Below are 19,267 nucleotides of genomic sequence, written 5' to 3'. Positions count from 1 at the left end.
TTGCCCTGCTTTTAAAAATTTTTTGTTATCTCTCCTAAAACATCATAGAGGGAATATTTAAATTTTTAATTCCCAGTCCCTAAATATGCATAATAGGGAGTGTAGCTCATTTTAGGATATACATGCAGTGTTGAAAAGTTTCACATAAATCAATGTAAAATGCAGTGGCAGAAATATTTATCCAAATCAACCTGGTAGTAAATTATTTTTGTAAGCAGACAAACTACCCTGTCAGGTAAATTGTCACCTTAAAATTATTCTTTTTATGATTTCTTATATTTATTTGGGGTTTTGGTTTTTTTTTTTTTTTTTTTTTGCACATGGCATATATGAATATTCAGCAATATTTTTTCTTAATGACCATTATTTTGAATAGGAAAATAAATATTATAAATTTTTAATAGTGACTTTAGGAAGCAACATAATAAATTTGCTTCATAACATTGCAATATGAGAGCACATACTCATTTGGGTTAAGAAATTTAGGAAAAGTAAAGTTTCCTAGCATAAATTCTTCTTTTTAAAGAAAATAATAATTTTATTTGCCTTTGACAGAGTTTTTTATGGTGCTGTCCTGTCTTAAACCTATTATGCTGAGCTCAATTTGAACCTTATTTTTTTTTTGAATACAGAAACATCATTATGAATACAGATTGTTGGACTTTGCTACTATACATGAGCCCTCAGAAATTGCAGAGGTGTATACAGTATTTTACCACTAAATAGCCCAGATTGGGCCATTTTTGTATCTTTCTGTGTACCCGCATTTGCTGCCGCTTGAATTTGTTGTGGTGAATCCTTTGCCGCATTTTTACATTTCACTCGTTGAAGTGTGAGCCTCAGGGTGTTTCCAAGCTCTTTGGGTGAAGGAAAGTGAGGAGTTTGCCACTCAAAGGGCTGTTTGTGTTCACATTTGTTTGTGATAAATGTAACTCAAATAGCAGGGTTGGGGGTGGGCTGGAATAAAGAAGGCCATCAGAATTAGATTATTGAAGAAATGCTGTGGGACTGAACCACAGCAGGAGGAATGGAAAAGAAGGAACAAATTCAAGAGATGTTTGAGGGAGTATTGACAGGAATTCATCAGTTATGGAAGAGACAGACAAGAAAAGTTAGATTTTTAGTTAAAGCCACTTGCTATATATTTTTATTACAAAACTAATACCTAGCTACTATAGAAAAAGTAGAAGATATAGGCATAAGGAAAAACATAAAATTATCCATAAATTTAATCACCTAGAGATGACCACCTTAAGGATCCTGATTGACGCCCTTTATACATACACACACATGCACATGTATCTATATGTATATATGTGTGTATGCATGTATGTCTTGCATTTATTCATGTGCTGAACATACCATTTAATTCCCCACTGAGATGTATTTAGGCTATATTCAACTTTTGCTAGTACAAATAATATGAATGTAAACATTATAGTTAAATATTTGTACATATCCTTATTTCCTTAAATCCTTAAAAGTGAAATTATTGGATCAAAAAGGCATTTGTGTTTTACAGGTGATTGCTAGATATTTCCACATTCTGCAATTCACAGTGTCCTTCAGAAAGACTATACCAATTTATGCTTCAAATAACAGTCTTTCAGCCTAGGTGATTGGGTATGTGGTAATACTATTAACTGAGTAAAACTTCCTAGGAGAACCTGGCTTAGGGGAAGATGCTTGGTTCAGACTGGAATATTATAACTGAATTATTTTCATTAGCCCCCTTGATATTCAAATCCCTTGTGTGATAATAACAACAATAAAATAATAATAGCTTACATTCATCATACTGTTACTGTGTGCCAAGCCCTTTTCATGAATTATTTTACTTAATTCTCACAACCCTGTGAACTAAGTGGTAAAATTAGACCCCATTTTATAGAGCAGAAAATTGAGGTTTAGCGAACCTGAGTAATCTGCCTAAGGTTACAAGGCTATGATAAATGGTAGAATAGATATTCAAATTAAAACCCAGACTTCTTAACAAATAGATCTTAAAAGTCCAGTAGAGGAAATGAGGTTACAGTAACTAAGTAGTATTCTCAAGAAAGTATGGTAAAGAGCTATTAAAAAAGGGTCATAGACAGTTCAAAAGCAACTGGTCTGTTTTCCCAGCCCCCTGCTAATTCATCTTGTTCTGTTATTTATTATTTTTCCTGTTTTAAATATTGTCCCCTTTTCAAATCCAAGCCAGTATTTCTCTTCATCAATGAAGAATTCCTTGACAACCCTACCTCAACTCTTCTTCTCCATGTGGATCCACTTGATGTCTGCCCATCAATGACCTTTATCACATGCTATCTTGCACTAATAGTTATTTTTGAATTCCAGGTTTTCCCAAATGTGCTTGGAGACATTTAAGGCAAGTGCTTTCAGTAAAGTTTATAAGACCTTTTGGTAGTTACCATGGAGCAGGCATTGGGCTGAATGTATTCTGTTTCACTTGTACTGGCTACTATCCTGTGAGATTAATACCATTATTATCTACAGTTTGTAGAGGAAGAATCTTGAGGCTCAGAAACATTATTCAAGTTCACATAGATAAATGCCTATATGAGATATAATCATTTTATTGGCATACAGAAGTGCTTGAGCGTGTCTTGAAAGACAAGTAGTATTTGAATGGGCACCAAAAAAAAAAATAGGAGAAAGGGCTTTCCCATTAGAGAGAATTGTATAAGGAATGGAGAATAGAATGTAGGGCAGTGCTCAGCAATAGCTAATAAATAGCCCAACAGATTTGGACATCAGTGTCATTGGGAGGAACCTCGAAAACAGCCCCTGAGAGGGTGAACTTTTCTCCTACCTTGGGAAGCCACTGAAGGTCATGGTGCACAGTAGGGTAACTATGGGCAGTTTGAAAGTGGAAGACTAATGTAAAGATTCTCACTCTGGGATCTGATTTACAAGGATATCACAAACATGGTTAAGAGGATTCAAGAAAGCTTAATTAAACCCGTTTCTTTACCTATCAGTAAGTTTCATGGGCGAAATTAAACATCAGATTAATGTGCTTTTTTGTAGGAATCACATCAACTCTGTGTGATGACACTGGTTCTCTATTCTTCTTGAAAACTCTGGTCATCATTGACTTACTTTTCCCCTAACTTAAGAGAGGAAAAGGAATGATTACTTAAAAGCTTTTTTGTTCAGAAATCAAAATAATTGCCCACTGGAAGTAATTAAAAAAGAATGTTGTTGTCTAACATAGTAATTCAAGGAAGAGGTGCTCCAGTTCTGACAAGTCAATAGTGGTAGAATGGAAAGGAGTGGATGGTTCTTAATGATAGAAAGAGACACGAAAACTGATGAAAATGTTACACCATGAACCTTCGGAGTACTGAGTTTTCTGTTTTTTTTAATGATACCAGCTATGAAGAATGAGGAGAAAATTAAAAGTTAACATTTGAAGAGAAAGTGCATAAATGTTAAATAGGAGCCAGATCATATCACTGAAATTTATGTAATGTCAAAAATATATCTTAGGCTGACGAGAAAAAAAACGGGAACATTTTTTTTCAGAGTCCTTATTCAAGTATCAGATATATAAGCCAGAATTTTATTTGTTTTGTTTCAGCTTTGACTAAACTACCCTAAAAGCAGGTTTGACGTATATATGAAAATTAAACTTTCAAATTAGGTATTTTCCAAATCTAATGTTTTAAAAATAAATTCAGACCTTTTTTTGGGGAAATTCTCTATTTCAATTAAGAGCTCCTCTTTTTGCTAACTGGTTTAGTGGGTTGTCTAGAATTTTATACTTTTATGTTCATTCCTGTTTGTTTTTTTCTCCCCCCTTCTCAAATTCTCCCTCTGAAAATATTCTTTAAAATGTGAGATCTCCTTGCTCAACAACCTATTTAAGTCAGAACCATTTGTATCTGCTCTGGCCAGGTTGTCATTTGATAATCTTGTTATGGACCAAATGATTTGTAGCCTAAGAAAAACCACCAAATCCACATGTGCCCTAAAGTTAGTGGCTTTGAAAAAGTAGAGAAGAGGTAAACATAAATACCATTAAAAACAAATGATTTGCACCTTTTTATCTGATTAAATTGTAAATAAAATTGAAAAATGAAGATCATTTACCAGTGACTGTGAGTATTCCTTCCAAGTTCACAAAATTTTAATAGAAATTTTTCTCCAGGTTTATGCTAATAATTTTCTTTCTGTGTAACCTTTAGAAACTCTGGTAGAGGTGTTTAACTTCTTAATGTCTAAGTGGCAAAAATTTACTCAAGCAAAAAATTTTCTGATAGCCATTTTATGTCCTATTATTACCCCAGTATTGGAACGCACAAATTTTTGGCTAAGATACTGAGTCTCTTAAATAAACTGGAGCCTCTAGAGAGAATTCAAAAACAGTAACAGTTTAGAAGTTAAGAATAGTAACATTTAAAAAGAAGATTATTATTATTTTTTTCTTTCAGCAAATATGAGTATCAGAAACCACACTTTGAAAAATAAACATATTGGGGGATACATACATGCACACACATATGCCTTTTAAAATATATTTCCTTTTTAAAACCCGTCTTTGAATCAAGTGGATGTAATGTGCTACTTTTAGAATGGAAAATGCATTTACTGGCACGTCTCTGTTCAAATTTATTTTCCATGTTTTCTTTAATAAGACCAATGTTAACTTAGCAGGAAAAGTTACTTACAGTGCCAGCTGAGGTTCTTTTCACTTTACACAAAGTAGATGTTATTAAGCTGGAGAGAAAGATTAATGCATTTCCTACTAATTCCATAGAGGAGAACATGTATCTTTATTAATGTTAATGGTGGGGGCCTCTCATAATGTTATAGAATAATCTGCTTTAGCGAAGGTTTTTCTTCTAAAGAACTTCATAACATTTAAAGGTTAATATGTTAGGTAAAGAACAATATCTTAAGACAAGTGTTTTTATTACAGGACATGATGGGATGGTTTATATTAAATTATATGATGATTTGAATGGGAAAGAAGAAAAAGTGCATCGCTTCTTGCCCTCAACTTTAATGCCTTTAATCAAATAATGACCTTCTGGAAAATAGTTAATTTTAAGCATTTGGAAAGATCAATACCACTTTGCCACCAAAAAATGGTCTAGATGATGAAATTTGATGTATTTAAAGTATCAGTTCACCCTTTTAACCTAGTAAATAATTTAAAATGCTTTCAGTATTGCTTTGCCACTGTTTCTCACTGCACAGTGTTATGATTCTTCATGAAAAAAGGTCACAAGTGGGTGTGTGAAGCATTTAGACCTCACACCTAGAAATGGGGTTGTATCTTCCTTAGGTCTTGGGTGTTTCTGCATTAGCCACCCCCTCAAAAGTATATATATTTAAATAGTACCTTTGAGGCACAGTGTGCATAAAACATATGAAAATAGAACCCTTCTGTAACTATACTGTTGTAATATTGTTTTAGTTGTTTTTTCAGACAGAAAAAGGGGTGGTTTAAAACATTATTAATCACTTGGCATCTTTGTGATATCTTTAAACCTTTATGCTAAAGGTGAAGGATTTGGTAGCTCTGACAATTAGAACTCATTTTCCCCCAGCTTGTAGAACACACTGATATGAAATTACCCTTGAGTGCCGACAGCTTTATTTAAAAAAAAAAAAAAAAAAAAAATTGCCCTCTATTAGCATGTTTGTGGGCAGATTAAAAACTGTCTTCATTAGCATAAGTAACACTTACAGATTCTTTTAAAAGTAGAAAATTATTTGCTGAATGATAAATTGCTAGCTTTATAGTTAGTTGTTGTTGAAAATGTACTCATTCAAATGCCTGGTGTAGTTTAGTCTACAATACTGAATTTTTTGTTAGAAGTACTATTTAATGGATTATGTACTTAATCCTTGTTCCTACTACTTGCTGAAATGTAATTCATGCTTTCCACTAAAATGTTTGTATCAAATACTTTCCTATTTAGATTGATTTCTTTTAATATCATATATTATTATACTGTATGCCCCAGAGATTGGAACAAACTATTCCTGCAAATAACACATAAAAGATGAGGGTGAGGGGGAATAAATACAGACTGTAAAATGTTTTGCTTTTTAGAACTCAAATTACCATTCTGTTTTTTCAGATGTATTTTTCCTTCTTAGTTGCAGTAAGAATTGTCATTTTCTTTCTCTTTTTATAGCTCTTAGTTTTAAAATGTATATGTACATAATGATAATATATACATATATGTATATTGCATTAAATGACTTTTTTTCTCAGAGAATACCAAAGTCTGTTTCCTCCTGGAAAAGTAGTTATGTTACATACTCCCAGCTTTGTCACAGAACAGGCCTTGTTAGGGGTTCTCATTCTATGCATGTGAGGCTTTATAAAGTACAATAAATTCATTTATGAAAGGAGGTTACTTTCTTGACTCAATTAAAATCATTGTGCACCCCTTCCTTATCTGTTAAAATGTTAGAAGCGAATTGACTTGAATTAAATGTTGTAAAAAGAGTGGAGTGGAAATCAGAGATTGAGTTTGGTTGGAAATTAGCAGCTGAGAGATGAAGGTGCCAGGATTTTTATTTAAATGTGGTACAACAAGATTTTGTCAGTAAAGCACATCATTAGAATATTGAGTTTAGAACTGCTAATTTTTCCTTTAAAATGAGCATACAGTCATGTGTTTCATGGACCATAATAAATTGCCATTGTGTTATCATTGAGTTTGTTTTGCTTTTTTGCAGTACTGATTTGGCAGTTATTCTGCATTTTCTCTTTTCCTTTTTTTTTTTTTTTCAATCTTACATTTCTTTAATAGATCCCTAACCAAAACCAGTCAAAAGAATGTTATTTATTTCGTACAGTCTTAGGTTTAGCATCTTTTGCACCATTTTCTTGCTTACGGTAGCAAGACATTTGCACATGGTTCTTGGTTACTATAAAGTACATAACAGTATTTCCTTTGTGGCAGATGGATTTAAGACTTTTAGTTCTCAATAAATGTAGGTTTACAATACATAACTTTGCAGGATTTGTGTTGTATATAACAGGTTTGAACATATTATCTCAGAATTCATCTGCATGGCATTTTCAGCTTATTCAGCGTCCATGCCAGTTTTTTTTAAGTAATAGGGGGAGCACTGTGATTGATTGCAACAGCTCAAGGCGTGATTTTGAATAGAAACAAAGGGTTTAGAACAGAAGGTGTCAAATTAAACTTTGTCAGTTTGAAAAGTAGTAACATCCTGAAAGTTTTACTAATTTATTTACATGTGGCTACTGTTTATATTTTGCCCTCTTTATATGCAGTGTAATGTTGCTTGGCAAATTTACTACATTTAAAGTTTAGGTTGTTCCTTGTACCATTTTAGTTTTCTGAGAATGGATCGGTCTCATTATTTTAAGGCTGTTAGTCCCCTGTCTTTTCTACTGTTCAAAACAGTTGTGAGCTCATTTAATTTAGAGAACAGTTCCCTGTTCTTCCTATGGTCTTATGTATATCAAGTCCCAGAGACCTCTCTTAAAAACGTAATTATGTTTTGTTTTGTTTTGTTGGTGTTTTTTTTGTCTTTTTGCAACAAAGCACTGCATTTCATTCCTCATCTCTGCTCCCCCACATAAGTCTATGCAGTTAACACTTAAAAACTAGTACAGTACTTTGGGGAATCATTATTTTTGTTAGATATTAAAAATATTGTGACATATTCATTTTCTTCCCAAGTTTATTTGTTCTAACAATATCACTTGTGGAAAACTGACCTAGAAAAAGGTACTGAAGCATTAGAAAGCATTTGGCTTCTTTAGTCATTTTCTGCAAAACATAAATCAGATTACTGTCATTATTAATAGAGTAACAATCAATAGAATTTGAGGTAGTCAAAATATTCCAAGGTATTTAAATAGCATTAGAATAAATTATCTTATTTTTGCCAGTGTAAACTGGGAATGAGCCAATTTATTTCTACACTGACAGAGAGCTAATGTGTCAAAATGTCTGTTTTCCATTATTTTTTTAAGAGCAATGCGCATCAAGAGAAGCATCCCCTCCCCCTTTTAAATTTTTTTGGAATACCCTTTAGAGCAAACAGTTCCCAGCTGCACCGTTAAATATTTTTCTAAGAAGCATCTGATTTCAGTCTCTTAAAATCATCGCATTTCTTGAAAGGCTAGCGGAGACATGCTTCGACTTATAATTCATCAAATTATTTTTAGATAAGGAATTAGAAGTATTATTTAAGGGCAGAGGTTAATAGCAAACTACTGGAAATGTTATGTTAGTCATGGGCAATTAATAAAAATAAGGATCTGTCTCGTAAGTCTAGAGACACAGAAGTGACAATATGAGCAAAATATTTGTTGAATGAGTCGGGGCTCTTTTTCTGAAATATTTGTTAAACCAGCATGAGTGTGATTGTTTAGGAATTAGCTATCATTATTAGCCATTTTAAAAGAACTAATGATTTTCTTTTCCAAAGAACATCTGTGATCCACATGTTTTTTTCACATATATCCAAGTGCTAACTGATCTCTGCATTACTTTAAAAAGTTCCTAAAGGATGTGAAAAATCACTGGAGTTTTTCAGCTCTCTCCAAGAAGCTTTTCTTACATGAATCATTCTTAATTTAACTTTTAGCAATTTTTAGTTACAAGCATTTATTTCTAAAAAAAAATTCTTGGATGCTCAATGTTTAGCATTTATTGCAATAGTAGAATGCTAGCTGAGTTTAAAAAAAATCTTCTGTGTTCTTTATGAACCTCTAACTTCTTTTGAAAGGTATATAAAACTGTGTGATTTGCTGTGTTCGGGTAGAGGGGTTCTGTCAATTATGATAGCTAAAGGAGGCAGACAAGGGGGAGAGGGAAAGTAATCTCACCCACAGTTAATATTCAAGCCTACCAGAAGATAATCTATCTAAAACATACATAGCAACAAAATTTAAAGGTAAAGTATAAAGAATAGCTTAGTTGTAGGAAAATGTATATTTTCATGGCTTAATTCAGATGGCAAATATTTACCAGTAAAAGCTAAGTAAACATCTGCAGGGCACCATATGCAAGTGGGTCTCAGATACTTCAGATGTTCACATAACAGTTTTATAGTTAATATATTCACATAAATAGAGCTGAAATATGTCATATTATAGTATTCTGGAAATAAACATAGAATTGCCATGGTTAGAAGAGAAGCAAATTCAGTGACATTGCCATCACAATGATTTTTATGTTTTATTTAGCTAACAGTCTTTCAGGTAAATCTTCAGTTTACTGCCTGCTGTCTTAACCTTGAATTATGCATTCAGTGGCATCAAATGAGTGCATGGTTACAAGACCATGACATGCATATATTTGCTTAATTAAAAGACATGTTGAATAGGAATACTAGTAGATGTCATGAGATACAGCAGTCGTCACGATGAGCTGCTTAGCAGATAGGCCTTAGGAAGCCAATATGTCAGTTTTCTACCTTTTCTTTTAAAATATTTCAAGGAGGCCATTTTTGGGAGAACAGGCCATGCTTCTTTCCACTATACATATTGCAGTTGAAGAATTTTCTCTCTAATCGTTTCAGTTTGAGAAGGGAAGGAAAGTCATGCCATCCTCTGGCCTCACTCCTGGTAACATAAGAAACAAAACCCTCCTTGGCTAGATCTAAAAATTACATAATTAAAAAAAAAACTATACTTCCATTTTCATCCAACTAATTTATTTAAAATTTCCGAGAAATGTCTTTGTCTTAGATCAAGTTCCCTAAATGCAGAGCCTAGGATGGGGAGTCAGGTGATCATGATTTGGTAAGGGCCCTGGGAAGAAAGGAGGAGGATAGGGAAGCGAAAGAGGTCCCATAAGGATATGGTCTCAGGCAAAATCTAGCCCCAGATTGATGGAGGGAGCAAGAAGAATGGGGATGACTGTCTCTAGAGAGTAAATTGAAGGGTAGAGTAAGTTGTCCATTTTCAGAAACAGGGGCAGAGACTTTGTGCCACTGGGTCAGCCAGTCACTGGCCACCCGGGGTGAGGAGGTCAATGAAGAAGTGTAGAGTTGGTTTCAAGACATTTTTTGAGAGCAGAGTGCAGGTGAGAGGTATTAGCAGGCAGCAGAACAGCTGAGGGGTAGCTGCCTTGGCTGGTGGGGGTCTGGATCAGACACCCTTACTCTTCCCCTTCACTCCATTGTTTAGTGTCCATCATGGCAGCCAAGGTGAAGACTCGAGATGACTGGAAAATATATTCTTCATGATCATTCAGTTCTTGATAGATAACCTCAGGGTAAAAAAACTGGGCCTTGGAAACATCAGAGAGGTGCAGATTTTGGCAGTCATTGGACATTTCCTTCTCTCTTAGCCCAAGAAACCTATTAAATTCTTGCCTGACAAATCATATGCTCCCACTGCAGCAGGCGGAAAAATAGGACTCCAGTGTCTCTCTTTGGAGAGTTCTTTCATAGCAAATTCCTGTAATGCCCATTCTAATCATTATGCCTTATACTGGAAAACATTCTTGCTGGTGTAATTGCACCTGTCCTTTCTGTTTCATACATGTACACACATAAATATTCACACACAGTTTTCTTTCAAATCCAAAAAGTACAAGCTTAGGAAATCCTTTTAGAAAAAAATTATTTCTAAAATCTGTCCTGCCTCTTAGGCACTTCCGTATCCTCAGATGGCCAGCCACTCGTCAGATAGCAAAGTTGTGCAAGACTGAAGCACATCAACTTTGTTTTTCTCCTATTTCATATATTAAAAAATCTGTGATAAATGCTCTGTTACCCTCAGAGTCTGAAAAAATATGTCCCTCCTTTGAGATGCAAATCTGAACTTTGATTAGAAACAGAGTCTGCCTCCTTGACAGCCACAGATAACCTCTCTTAACAAGTTAAAAACAATTTTTAAAGCAGAATGGTGTGTTCTGAGCTTATGAAAAAGTTAATTCATAGGGTTTTTCCTTTTTAGCTCCTAATGGAAAATGCCAGCCCCTCTCATAGGCACAAACTGACCTATTATGCCCTTGTCTCTAAGGGATGGTTGTGCGAGCTGTTACGCTGGAAAGAAGATCCTTCTCCAGAAAACAGAACCCTGTGGGAGAACCTCTCCATGATCCGAAGGTTCCTCAGTCTTCCTCAGCCAGAACGTGATGCCATTTATGAACAGGAGAGCAACGCGGTGCATCACCATGGCGACAGGCCGCCCCACATTATCCATGTTCCAGCAGAGCAGATTCAGGTTCGTTTACTTTGGCCAATTCAGTATAGCAATAAGTAAATAAAGCTTTAAACTTAGCAGGGAAATTAGCGTTTCTCTTCCTCCTGCCAGTCTAACCATAGGCTTTTTAGCAAGAGATAACAATACACTGCCATCTTGCTCAGGGGGATAAAATGAATATTAACATACTTTTTCCAGCGTATGTATCGTGTTCCTCTTTCCTCATCTCCCAGCCACCAAAGCAACAGGAACCCCTTTTTTACACTCGTTTGGCAAATGTGTCTTTGTTGGTATTGGGTTTTGTGTTAAGAGCTTAAAATTTTTGTGTGTTTTTTAAAAATCACAATTTAAAACACCACCTATTTTTTAATTAATACCACAGTGCCCCTGAGGAAAAGAGCAACCGCTGTTGCTGTAAAGGAAGTTTGTAGAATCACAATTTTATACATTGGATTCTGTCCAGAAAGAGGAGGGGAGGGAAGCTTAATTGGAATCTTGCCTTACAGTCCTTGGCCCTTCCTTCACCTTGTATGTAATAGCTGTCTCCCCACACTTTACAGAATGTAGGTTAGGGGTGAGTCATCTCTGTTTGTCTTTCCTTTAGAGCCCCTCTCCCACCACCCTTGGGAAAGGAGAGTCTAGAGGCGTTTTCTTACCAGGCCTGCCGACCCCTGCACCATGGCTCGGTGCTGCTCCTCAGGTGAGCGGGCACAGTTACCTATGCCACCAAGGGACACAGAGAGGGGGTGACCTAAAGACCTGCTCCCCAGGTCAGGATTTTCAAACCTGTAAAGGCCCTACTAACCATGGTCTTGGGCAGAGCTCACTGTGCCAGCAGATGCAGCCTTATGCTTTGTTTGTCATGTCATGGGACTTGTCACCATTCATCTCCTGAAGACACTCTTCTGTGAATTTAGATGGAAAAGTTCTGGGATCAGGTAGTCATTAGCGCTCTTAGGGCCCCAGTTGCTTAGAAAGCGTGTTGTCATTGAACTTGAGTTGTATAGCTTATTTTTGTTAAAGGGGATGATTTTAGCTCTCTTTTAAAGTAAAATGCCACTGCCTTCCAGAGTCCTAAAATTCTACCTCTGTTGAGTCACCTACATTCTGCAATTTTTTTGTATTTCTGTGAAAAATTATATATATGTGTGTGCGTGTGTGTATAGATAGATACGTATAACTAAAAACAGTAATAAAGTTATTTATCTACCAGGATAAAAAAATTCTCAAGTGTGTATTAAAGATAAAACAAGTTGACAAAGAGCTTCCCTTTAGGATATCAAGCACTAAAATAATCGTGAAAGCCTGAAAAACTTACTGTTTAGCAAAAACAAAAAAGAGAACGATATATGTTAATTAATTTAAAAAGTACTTATTCGAAAATATAAATTGTTTTTAATAAAATTGCTTCTTAGGGGTATAAAAGGAAATGCATAGACACGGTATCAGCATTCTAATATTTTGCCACTTAGGTTGATTTACTTTGCTGATAAGAATTATGGATATCGAGTGTACAGTATGTGCATGTGTCACATATTTATGTATAATTGTGTATGGAAATTGTAGCACATATACATATACTAATTATGAAAAAGTGTCTGTATACACTAAATTTAAATCCTAACCACATCTGAGTTTGCTATAGACAAAACAATTCGCTAGCTGTCGTATGGTGGATTGAACCTTTTGAGGTAAGAAAAAAACTTGCAGTGTCAGCCTAGTGCAATTCGGTAAGAAATTGTGTGTGTATTAAATTGGAACTGTCTGATAGAAAATTCACAAGTGTGAGAATATCAGAAATCCTTTAGTCTCATGACAGATAACACTGAATAAGAGCATAAGCTCATCTTCTGTTCTTCCTGGCCATCCAATGAAACGGAGCAGAACACAAATTTCTTTCCCCGCTGCTCTGTAGCTCACCTTTCTGAAATGTCTTTGAAATCCTTTCCTCTCCATCTTCATTTTAAATCTTTGTTAATTATTTACATCATAATTTGATGTGCTGTCTTCGCCTTTGATGCGTATCATTCTAGTGAATTTTATGGCTCACATTTTCAGAGCACTGAGTTTTCACTTCCTCTGCTGATCTCTGATAAGTAAGTGCAGTAGCCCCCCAAAGCTGTCTTAATTCATCCCTTCCTAGTCATATCATTTTGATTTTTTTGTAAATGCTGTCGGCCATTTCGCCGGCCTACCTTTTCTTTCTAAATCTTCATCCCTATCAAAGAAGCTATATGTAGGATCCGGGACCACATTTTTCCTGATTGGAGACGGCTTTGTGTGGAACTCCACGATAGCAGAGCTCTGATTGTCTCCTTGTTTCTTTGCAGCAACAGCAGCAGCAACAGCAACAGCAGCAGCAGCAGCAGCAGGCACCGCCGCCTCCACAGCCACAGCAGCAGCCACAGACAGGCCCTCGGCTCCCCCCACGGCAACCCACGGTGGCCTCTCCAGCAGAGTCAGATGAGGAAAACCGACAGAAGACCCGGCCACGAACAAAAATTTCAGTGGAAGCCTTGGGAATCCTCCAGAGTTTCATACAAGACGTGGGCCTGTACCCTGACGAAGAGGCCATCCAGACTCTGTCTGCCCAGCTCGACCTTCCCAAGTACACCATCATCAAGTTCTTTCAGAACCAGCGGTACTATCTCAAGCACCACGGCAAACTGAAGGACAATTCCGGTTTAGAGGTCGATGTGGCAGAATATAAAGAAGAGGAGCTGCTGAAGGATTTGGAAGAGAGTGTCCAAGATAAAAATACTAACACCCTTTTTTCAGTGAAACTAGAAGAAGAGCTGTCAGTGGAAGGAAACACAGACATTAATACTGATTTGAAAGACTGAGATAAAAGTATTTGTTTCGTTCAACAGTGCCACTGGTATTTACTAACAAAATGAAAAGTCCACCTTGTCTTCTCTCAGAAAACCTTTGTTGTTCATTGTTTGGCCAATGAATCTTCAAAAACTTGCACAAACAGAAAAGTTGGAAAAGGATAATACAGACTGCACTAAATGTTTTCCTCTGTTTTACAAACTGCTTGGCAGCCCCAGGTGAAGCATCAAGGATTGTTTGGTATTAAAATTTGTGTTCACGGGATGCACCAAAGTGTGTACCCCGTAAGCATGAAACCAGTGTTTTTTGTTTTTTTTTTAGTTCTTATTCCGGAGCCTCAAACAAGCATTATACCTTCTGTGATTATGATTTCCTCTCCTATAATTATTTCTGTAGCACTCCACACTGATCTTTGGAAACTTGCCCCTTATTTAAAAAAAAAAAAGAAAAAAAAGAGTTTGTTACTCTATTGTATGTTACAAAAGAACTATAGACTGTGGAATGCAGTTTAAAGATGACATATGCCAACAAATGCCTTGTATTATATGGCACTGCCGTAATTCAAATTTGTTTTTATTTTGGAAATAAAAGTTCACTGTACTTTTTTTTCATTCTCATTGTTACATGATTTTTTAAAAAAAGGAAAAGAAAATGTGAAACACAATTTAGTCCTCATTATTTATTTGTAGATCCTGCAGCATCATGTTGTAATTAATTTTTTGGAAGTTTCCGTTAAATGTAATATTGCTTCTCTTGTTACCATACTGATTCTTTTCTATTTATAAATGTATTTTGATGGGCAGTAAAACAAAGTGTCTTAAAAGTTTTAAATAGAGAAAATGTGCTTTACACAGTTGCCTATAAAAAGTGCTCTATGTTATCCAAGCAATTCATACTATAAGCTTCACTCTTATTGTTGTATGCAATTTTTACTATCATGCAAATAAGCTTAGGTAAATAAAACTAATAGATCACCTTAGAAAATTATGCAATTAATGTGAAAATAATTGATGTTTGCAATGTGTCTTCCTTTGGTTTACAATCAATTTTAAAGCTACATCTGTATAAAATTTCTGTATAAAGGTGTATTTCTTTTTTATGAGTTTATGGCTATGAAAACAGCTATTTTGTTACAGCTGGCTGTTTTTATAAGTGTATCACAATTTTCTTTATGCAGAAATGTTCTGACTAGGAGTGGTTATTGACTGTAACTACACAATTAAAATTGTTTGTATCGTATGACATGGTAGGGTTTGTCTGCTTATGTGAAGTAACTAAAGGAGTCAAAGGATGGCCCTCTCATTTAGGTGCATGTTAATAACTTGTTATTTCACTGATTTTAAAAAGAGCAATTGACAAGTTACTTGAAACACTGTAAATTTAAATCACAAACACATGCTCATTTTTAAATAGGTATGAAATTTCACAATGAAAATAACCTGTTTGGTTAACATTTTGCTTAATAAGTAGAGATAGGATGGTCAAAAGACTCTCCGACAAAAACAAATCCAGTCTCTAGCAGTTATGTTGTTAGAATGGATTCATCTGTGCTTATTTCACAATACTTCATTTATAGCAATGCTTTTCCTTAAGCTAATGTATAAATATTTCTAAAGGCCATTAATAGTAACAAAATAAGTAGGGGAAAAAATGGACCTTCTGTATAAAAACCCCTTAGCTTTTTTTTTTCACAAGTTATAAGTGGAATAAGTTAATAACTGAGCTCGTAAGTGTATCTCATAACTATAAGAGCTACATGAAGAAAATAGGAATAACACACCTGGTATTTAAACACAATCTTCAAAATTCTTGCAACATTAAACATAGTAAAATGCCAGAATATAAAATGAGGTGTGCTAATGGTCACAGGATTGAGGCCAGCATTACAGTTTGGGGTGATTTTTCTTTTATTTGCTCCCTCACTTTGTTTCCTAGATGCTAGTAGGGGTATCTGGGTTGCTTGAGATACCATTTTGCAATTGCCCCTTCTCTTTCTGCCTACCATCTTCTCAGGCCCTGATGAGCTTATTGGTAGGCAACTGGGCTGCTTTAGTGTTGAACTTGTACTTTAGAAACTGAAGTGGAATCATTGAAAACTTTCAATAAAGCTTTAAAGTTCCATTTACTTTTGAAGCACAGCTAAGCTCCTCTGAAGGCAGCTGGTTTGTTGCAAACTTAAAATTGTACTGAAAAGTTGCCACTTTTTATTTAGTAAGAAAACAAACATTCTGGCTCACTAGAGTTCAGAAAAGTAATAATTTGAGCCAAAGGAATTTGAATTAAGAAAATAGAAACTAGGTTTCATGTATTTAAAAAATAGGAAATAAAATAGAAACTCAAATGCCATGAAGTTATCTTCCTCTTCCTTATATCCCCTAAGTTTGGGTTGCAAATAACTTTCCAATTCCTAATAACCTAAATTATTTTGAAATAGTGTTTTCAGTGAAATGATGAATGTTTGAATGTTTGTTTGGTAATCAACATAACAATGCTAACAAAATTCCCACTTAGATTTTTTAACTTTTAAAAGTCAGCGTGGTTTTGATAATTTGATATTTTAAATGCCCACACATACACACACACACACACACACACACACACAAGCACATGTTAATAAACTGATAGGATGGAGTGAGCAAAATTGTTTTCAGGGAAGATGGCACATTTTAGAAAAGACTTGCCCAGATGATCTTCCATATTGCTCCCCCAATGTCATTTATCGCTCATGCCAATCCTCCTCTTGTTACCTGTGGCTATGGTAAAATTCCTTTAACAAGCTTCATTGTGTCCAAGTATTTCAGAGACTTTTAAAAGCTGGGCATGACATAGCGTTTTGTGCTGTTAAGACCTTAGCAGAGTCAGGTAGTTTACGGGTAATATTCAACCTTGTGCATCTGAATCTGTCATGGATTCCCTTCACTCAGCACTTTGCCACTAATTTGTATTACACTCTGTGGCCATATAATACTTGCACATTATGCAAAAAAAAATGTTGATAGTATCTCCTTGCCACACAATATGCAGAGTTGACAACCTTTGAAAACCAAGGTAACTAATATGTATGTCCTAGTTGTGTGGCGCTTGGTAACAAAGTCTGTACATATTATGTATAAAATGTGTATTGGTTAGCATTTAGTACTAAGAAATTCTGAGTTTAAAATAAGTGATTTTTTTCAAAGTAGCGATATCTATATCTGTGTTTATCTAAAAATACTGGCTTGAATAGAAAACATTCTCAGATGATTCAAGATTGAGTAAAAATGAGAATCCCATACATTCCATTATTAAATTCTGCCCTATTCCCAATTGTTAGCATCTGGCTGATATTAAGGTCTTTGATTGTCACAATATTCTCAATAAATGAGACATTCTGAACTGCCTGGTGATATTTTCAAAAAGAGCAATTAAAATGTGTATTCCCTCTAATACAGCTGATAGAACTGTTGTGTTAAAGCAAGTTGGAAATTTGCATGATAGTGTGGAAACCAATGGAGGTCCAAAATATTAATCATATCTAAAATATCAGAAAATATCAATACTAGTCTTCTTTATGCATATTTTTGACTTTTTAAGAGGGCTTATGAATTCAATGTTTCTTCTGAGGCAATCCTTTTAATGTAAATACTAAATACTTGCATGTCTTTTGACAAAGGCTAAACTACAATCTATTAATATGCACATTTTTGATAAAATATAAAGTACCCTAATTAAAGAAATTGTGGTAGAAGGTGTATGTCCTGAATACTATACCTGTTTAACAATACCAAATGTTAAATAAAAATAGTTTGAAATTAATGTTTAAAAGATGAGCCACATTTTTAAGACTTTCTTACATTACCCTACTTACAGAGAGCATATATCTCCAAATTTAATTCTATCAAAAGAACACTACCAAAACTCAATTACAGCTTCTTGCCTCGTACCAAGGTTGTGTGGTTACCGTTTCCCAACAATTATTTTCAGCTGCTAATACACTTACTGTGATCAAAAGCACTTGACTTGGGCCCTGTTCTCTATGATAGTGGTTGATGAGCGAATGCAGTAGAGCAGTATGTTATGCAAAGTAAACACTTGCAAAGAAACTCCGAAGTGACATATTTTGCAACAAAGTAAATGGTGAACGTTATTTACTGTGAGTTGAATCAGAAATACTTGCTTTTTGTGGTACTCAAATACAAAATTTTCATTACAATGACACTTTAATGCATGCCCTTACACCACCACCCCCACCTGACACAATGATGTCCCGTGTGCTACTCTGATTTTCCTTTCACAGGAGAACCAACAATACCTGTTAGATGAGAATGTTGAAGAAGAATATTCAAATATTTAAATATGTTTATTCGTTAGTCTGTGGCAATGTGATGCAAAATGAACATTTGTCCAGAGCACAAACCTGTTGAACGGCATCTTAATCTAGGGACAGGTTTCATCTATTCTACCTTTGTTTCCAAAGGGAATTTGCAAACATTTGTTTCACTAGATCTAGTACAAAGGCTTTCTCCTTCTGAGGCCCCCTTCTTAGCACCATCCTCACACATGTTTTAAATAATATAGAAAAAATATTTGCAGAATGCTTCATTTTATTAGGCACTGCCACAAACATATCTTGTTTAAACCTCTGCATTCCACCTTGAGGTATTTAAGGCAGGCACTGACATTCTCACTTCAAAGACAACGGAAGGGAAACTCAAATAGGTTAACTGATTTGTTTAGCTGTTAAGTGGCCACATTTGTCTCAAACTCAAGTCTACACATTTCTCTCTCTTTTCCCTAACAAAAACTCTCTCAAATGCAAAAAAAAAAAAAAAAAAAAAAAAAATGCACACACAAAAACCTAATGGCAATTCAAAATTTTCAGAAATATGTTGTAATGCATATTTTGCTAATATGAAGACTTTGATCACTAACTACTTGAAATCAAGTGTATGGAATATTTCCTCATGAAATAGTGACCTCCAAAGACCTATACACACTAAATGTCTTTTAAAAAACAAATTTTATTGTGGAAAATTTCAAACACACACACAAAAGTAGAGACAAGGAACTCCCATGAATTTATCACCTAATTCAACAATTGTAACATTTTTTCATCAATAAATACTTCATGAAACTAACGAAGATAAAACTTCTACAAAAATCTTTAAACTGTTCAATGGTTTTTACCCATAATGTCGTTATGACATCATCTTTTTTTTTAAGAAATGAATTTTCTGATTTCTAGAGAAAACATTAAAATTTGAAGTTTTTCTCAGAGCTCTCTGAGCATTT

General features: G+C 34.9%; 1 protein-coding gene across 13 annotated transcripts in view, besides 1 other annotated feature; it reads left to right on the top strand.

Moving 5' to 3' along the window:
- Nucleotides 1-17,800, top strand: part of SATB1 (SATB homeobox 1) — a 100,216-nt gene extending 82,416 nt beyond the window's left edge. For 7 of the 13 annotated variants that reach the window (NM_001322874.2, NM_001322872.2, NM_001322876.2 and 4 more), the window contains 2 exons: nucleotides 10,982-11,185; nucleotides 13,495-17,800. In NM_001322874.2, coding sequence (NP_001309803.1) covers nucleotides 10,982-11,185; nucleotides 13,495-14,007 — 717 coding nt within the window. In that variant the 3' untranslated portion in view covers nucleotides 14,008-17,800. Of the gene's footprint in view, nucleotides 1-2,340; nucleotides 6,685-10,981; nucleotides 11,186-11,768; nucleotides 11,865-13,494 lie in introns of those variants that run through there. The other 6 variants (XM_011533989.3, NM_001322871.2, XM_011533988.4 and 3 more) reach the window with 2 other exon arrangements.
- Nucleotides 17,786-18,406: an enhancer, noted in NCBI's record as "OCT4-NANOG hESC enhancer chr3:18386263-18386883 (GRCh37/hg19 assembly coordinates)". NCBI's record gives its function as "activates a minimal SCP1, AML or CMV promoter by ChIP-STARR-seq in naive and primed H9 embryonic stem cells {active_cell/tissue: H9 hESC(naive and primed)}" and the evidence as "EXISTENCE:reporter gene assay evidence [ECO:0000049][PMID:30033119]".

Source organism: Homo sapiens, chromosome 3 (assembly GCF_000001405.40).
Source record: "Homo sapiens chromosome 3, GRCh38.p14 Primary Assembly".
NCBI lineage: Eukaryota > Metazoa > Chordata > Mammalia > Primates > Hominidae > Homo > Homo sapiens.
This window is presented reverse-complemented; position numbering and strand designations above follow the sequence as displayed.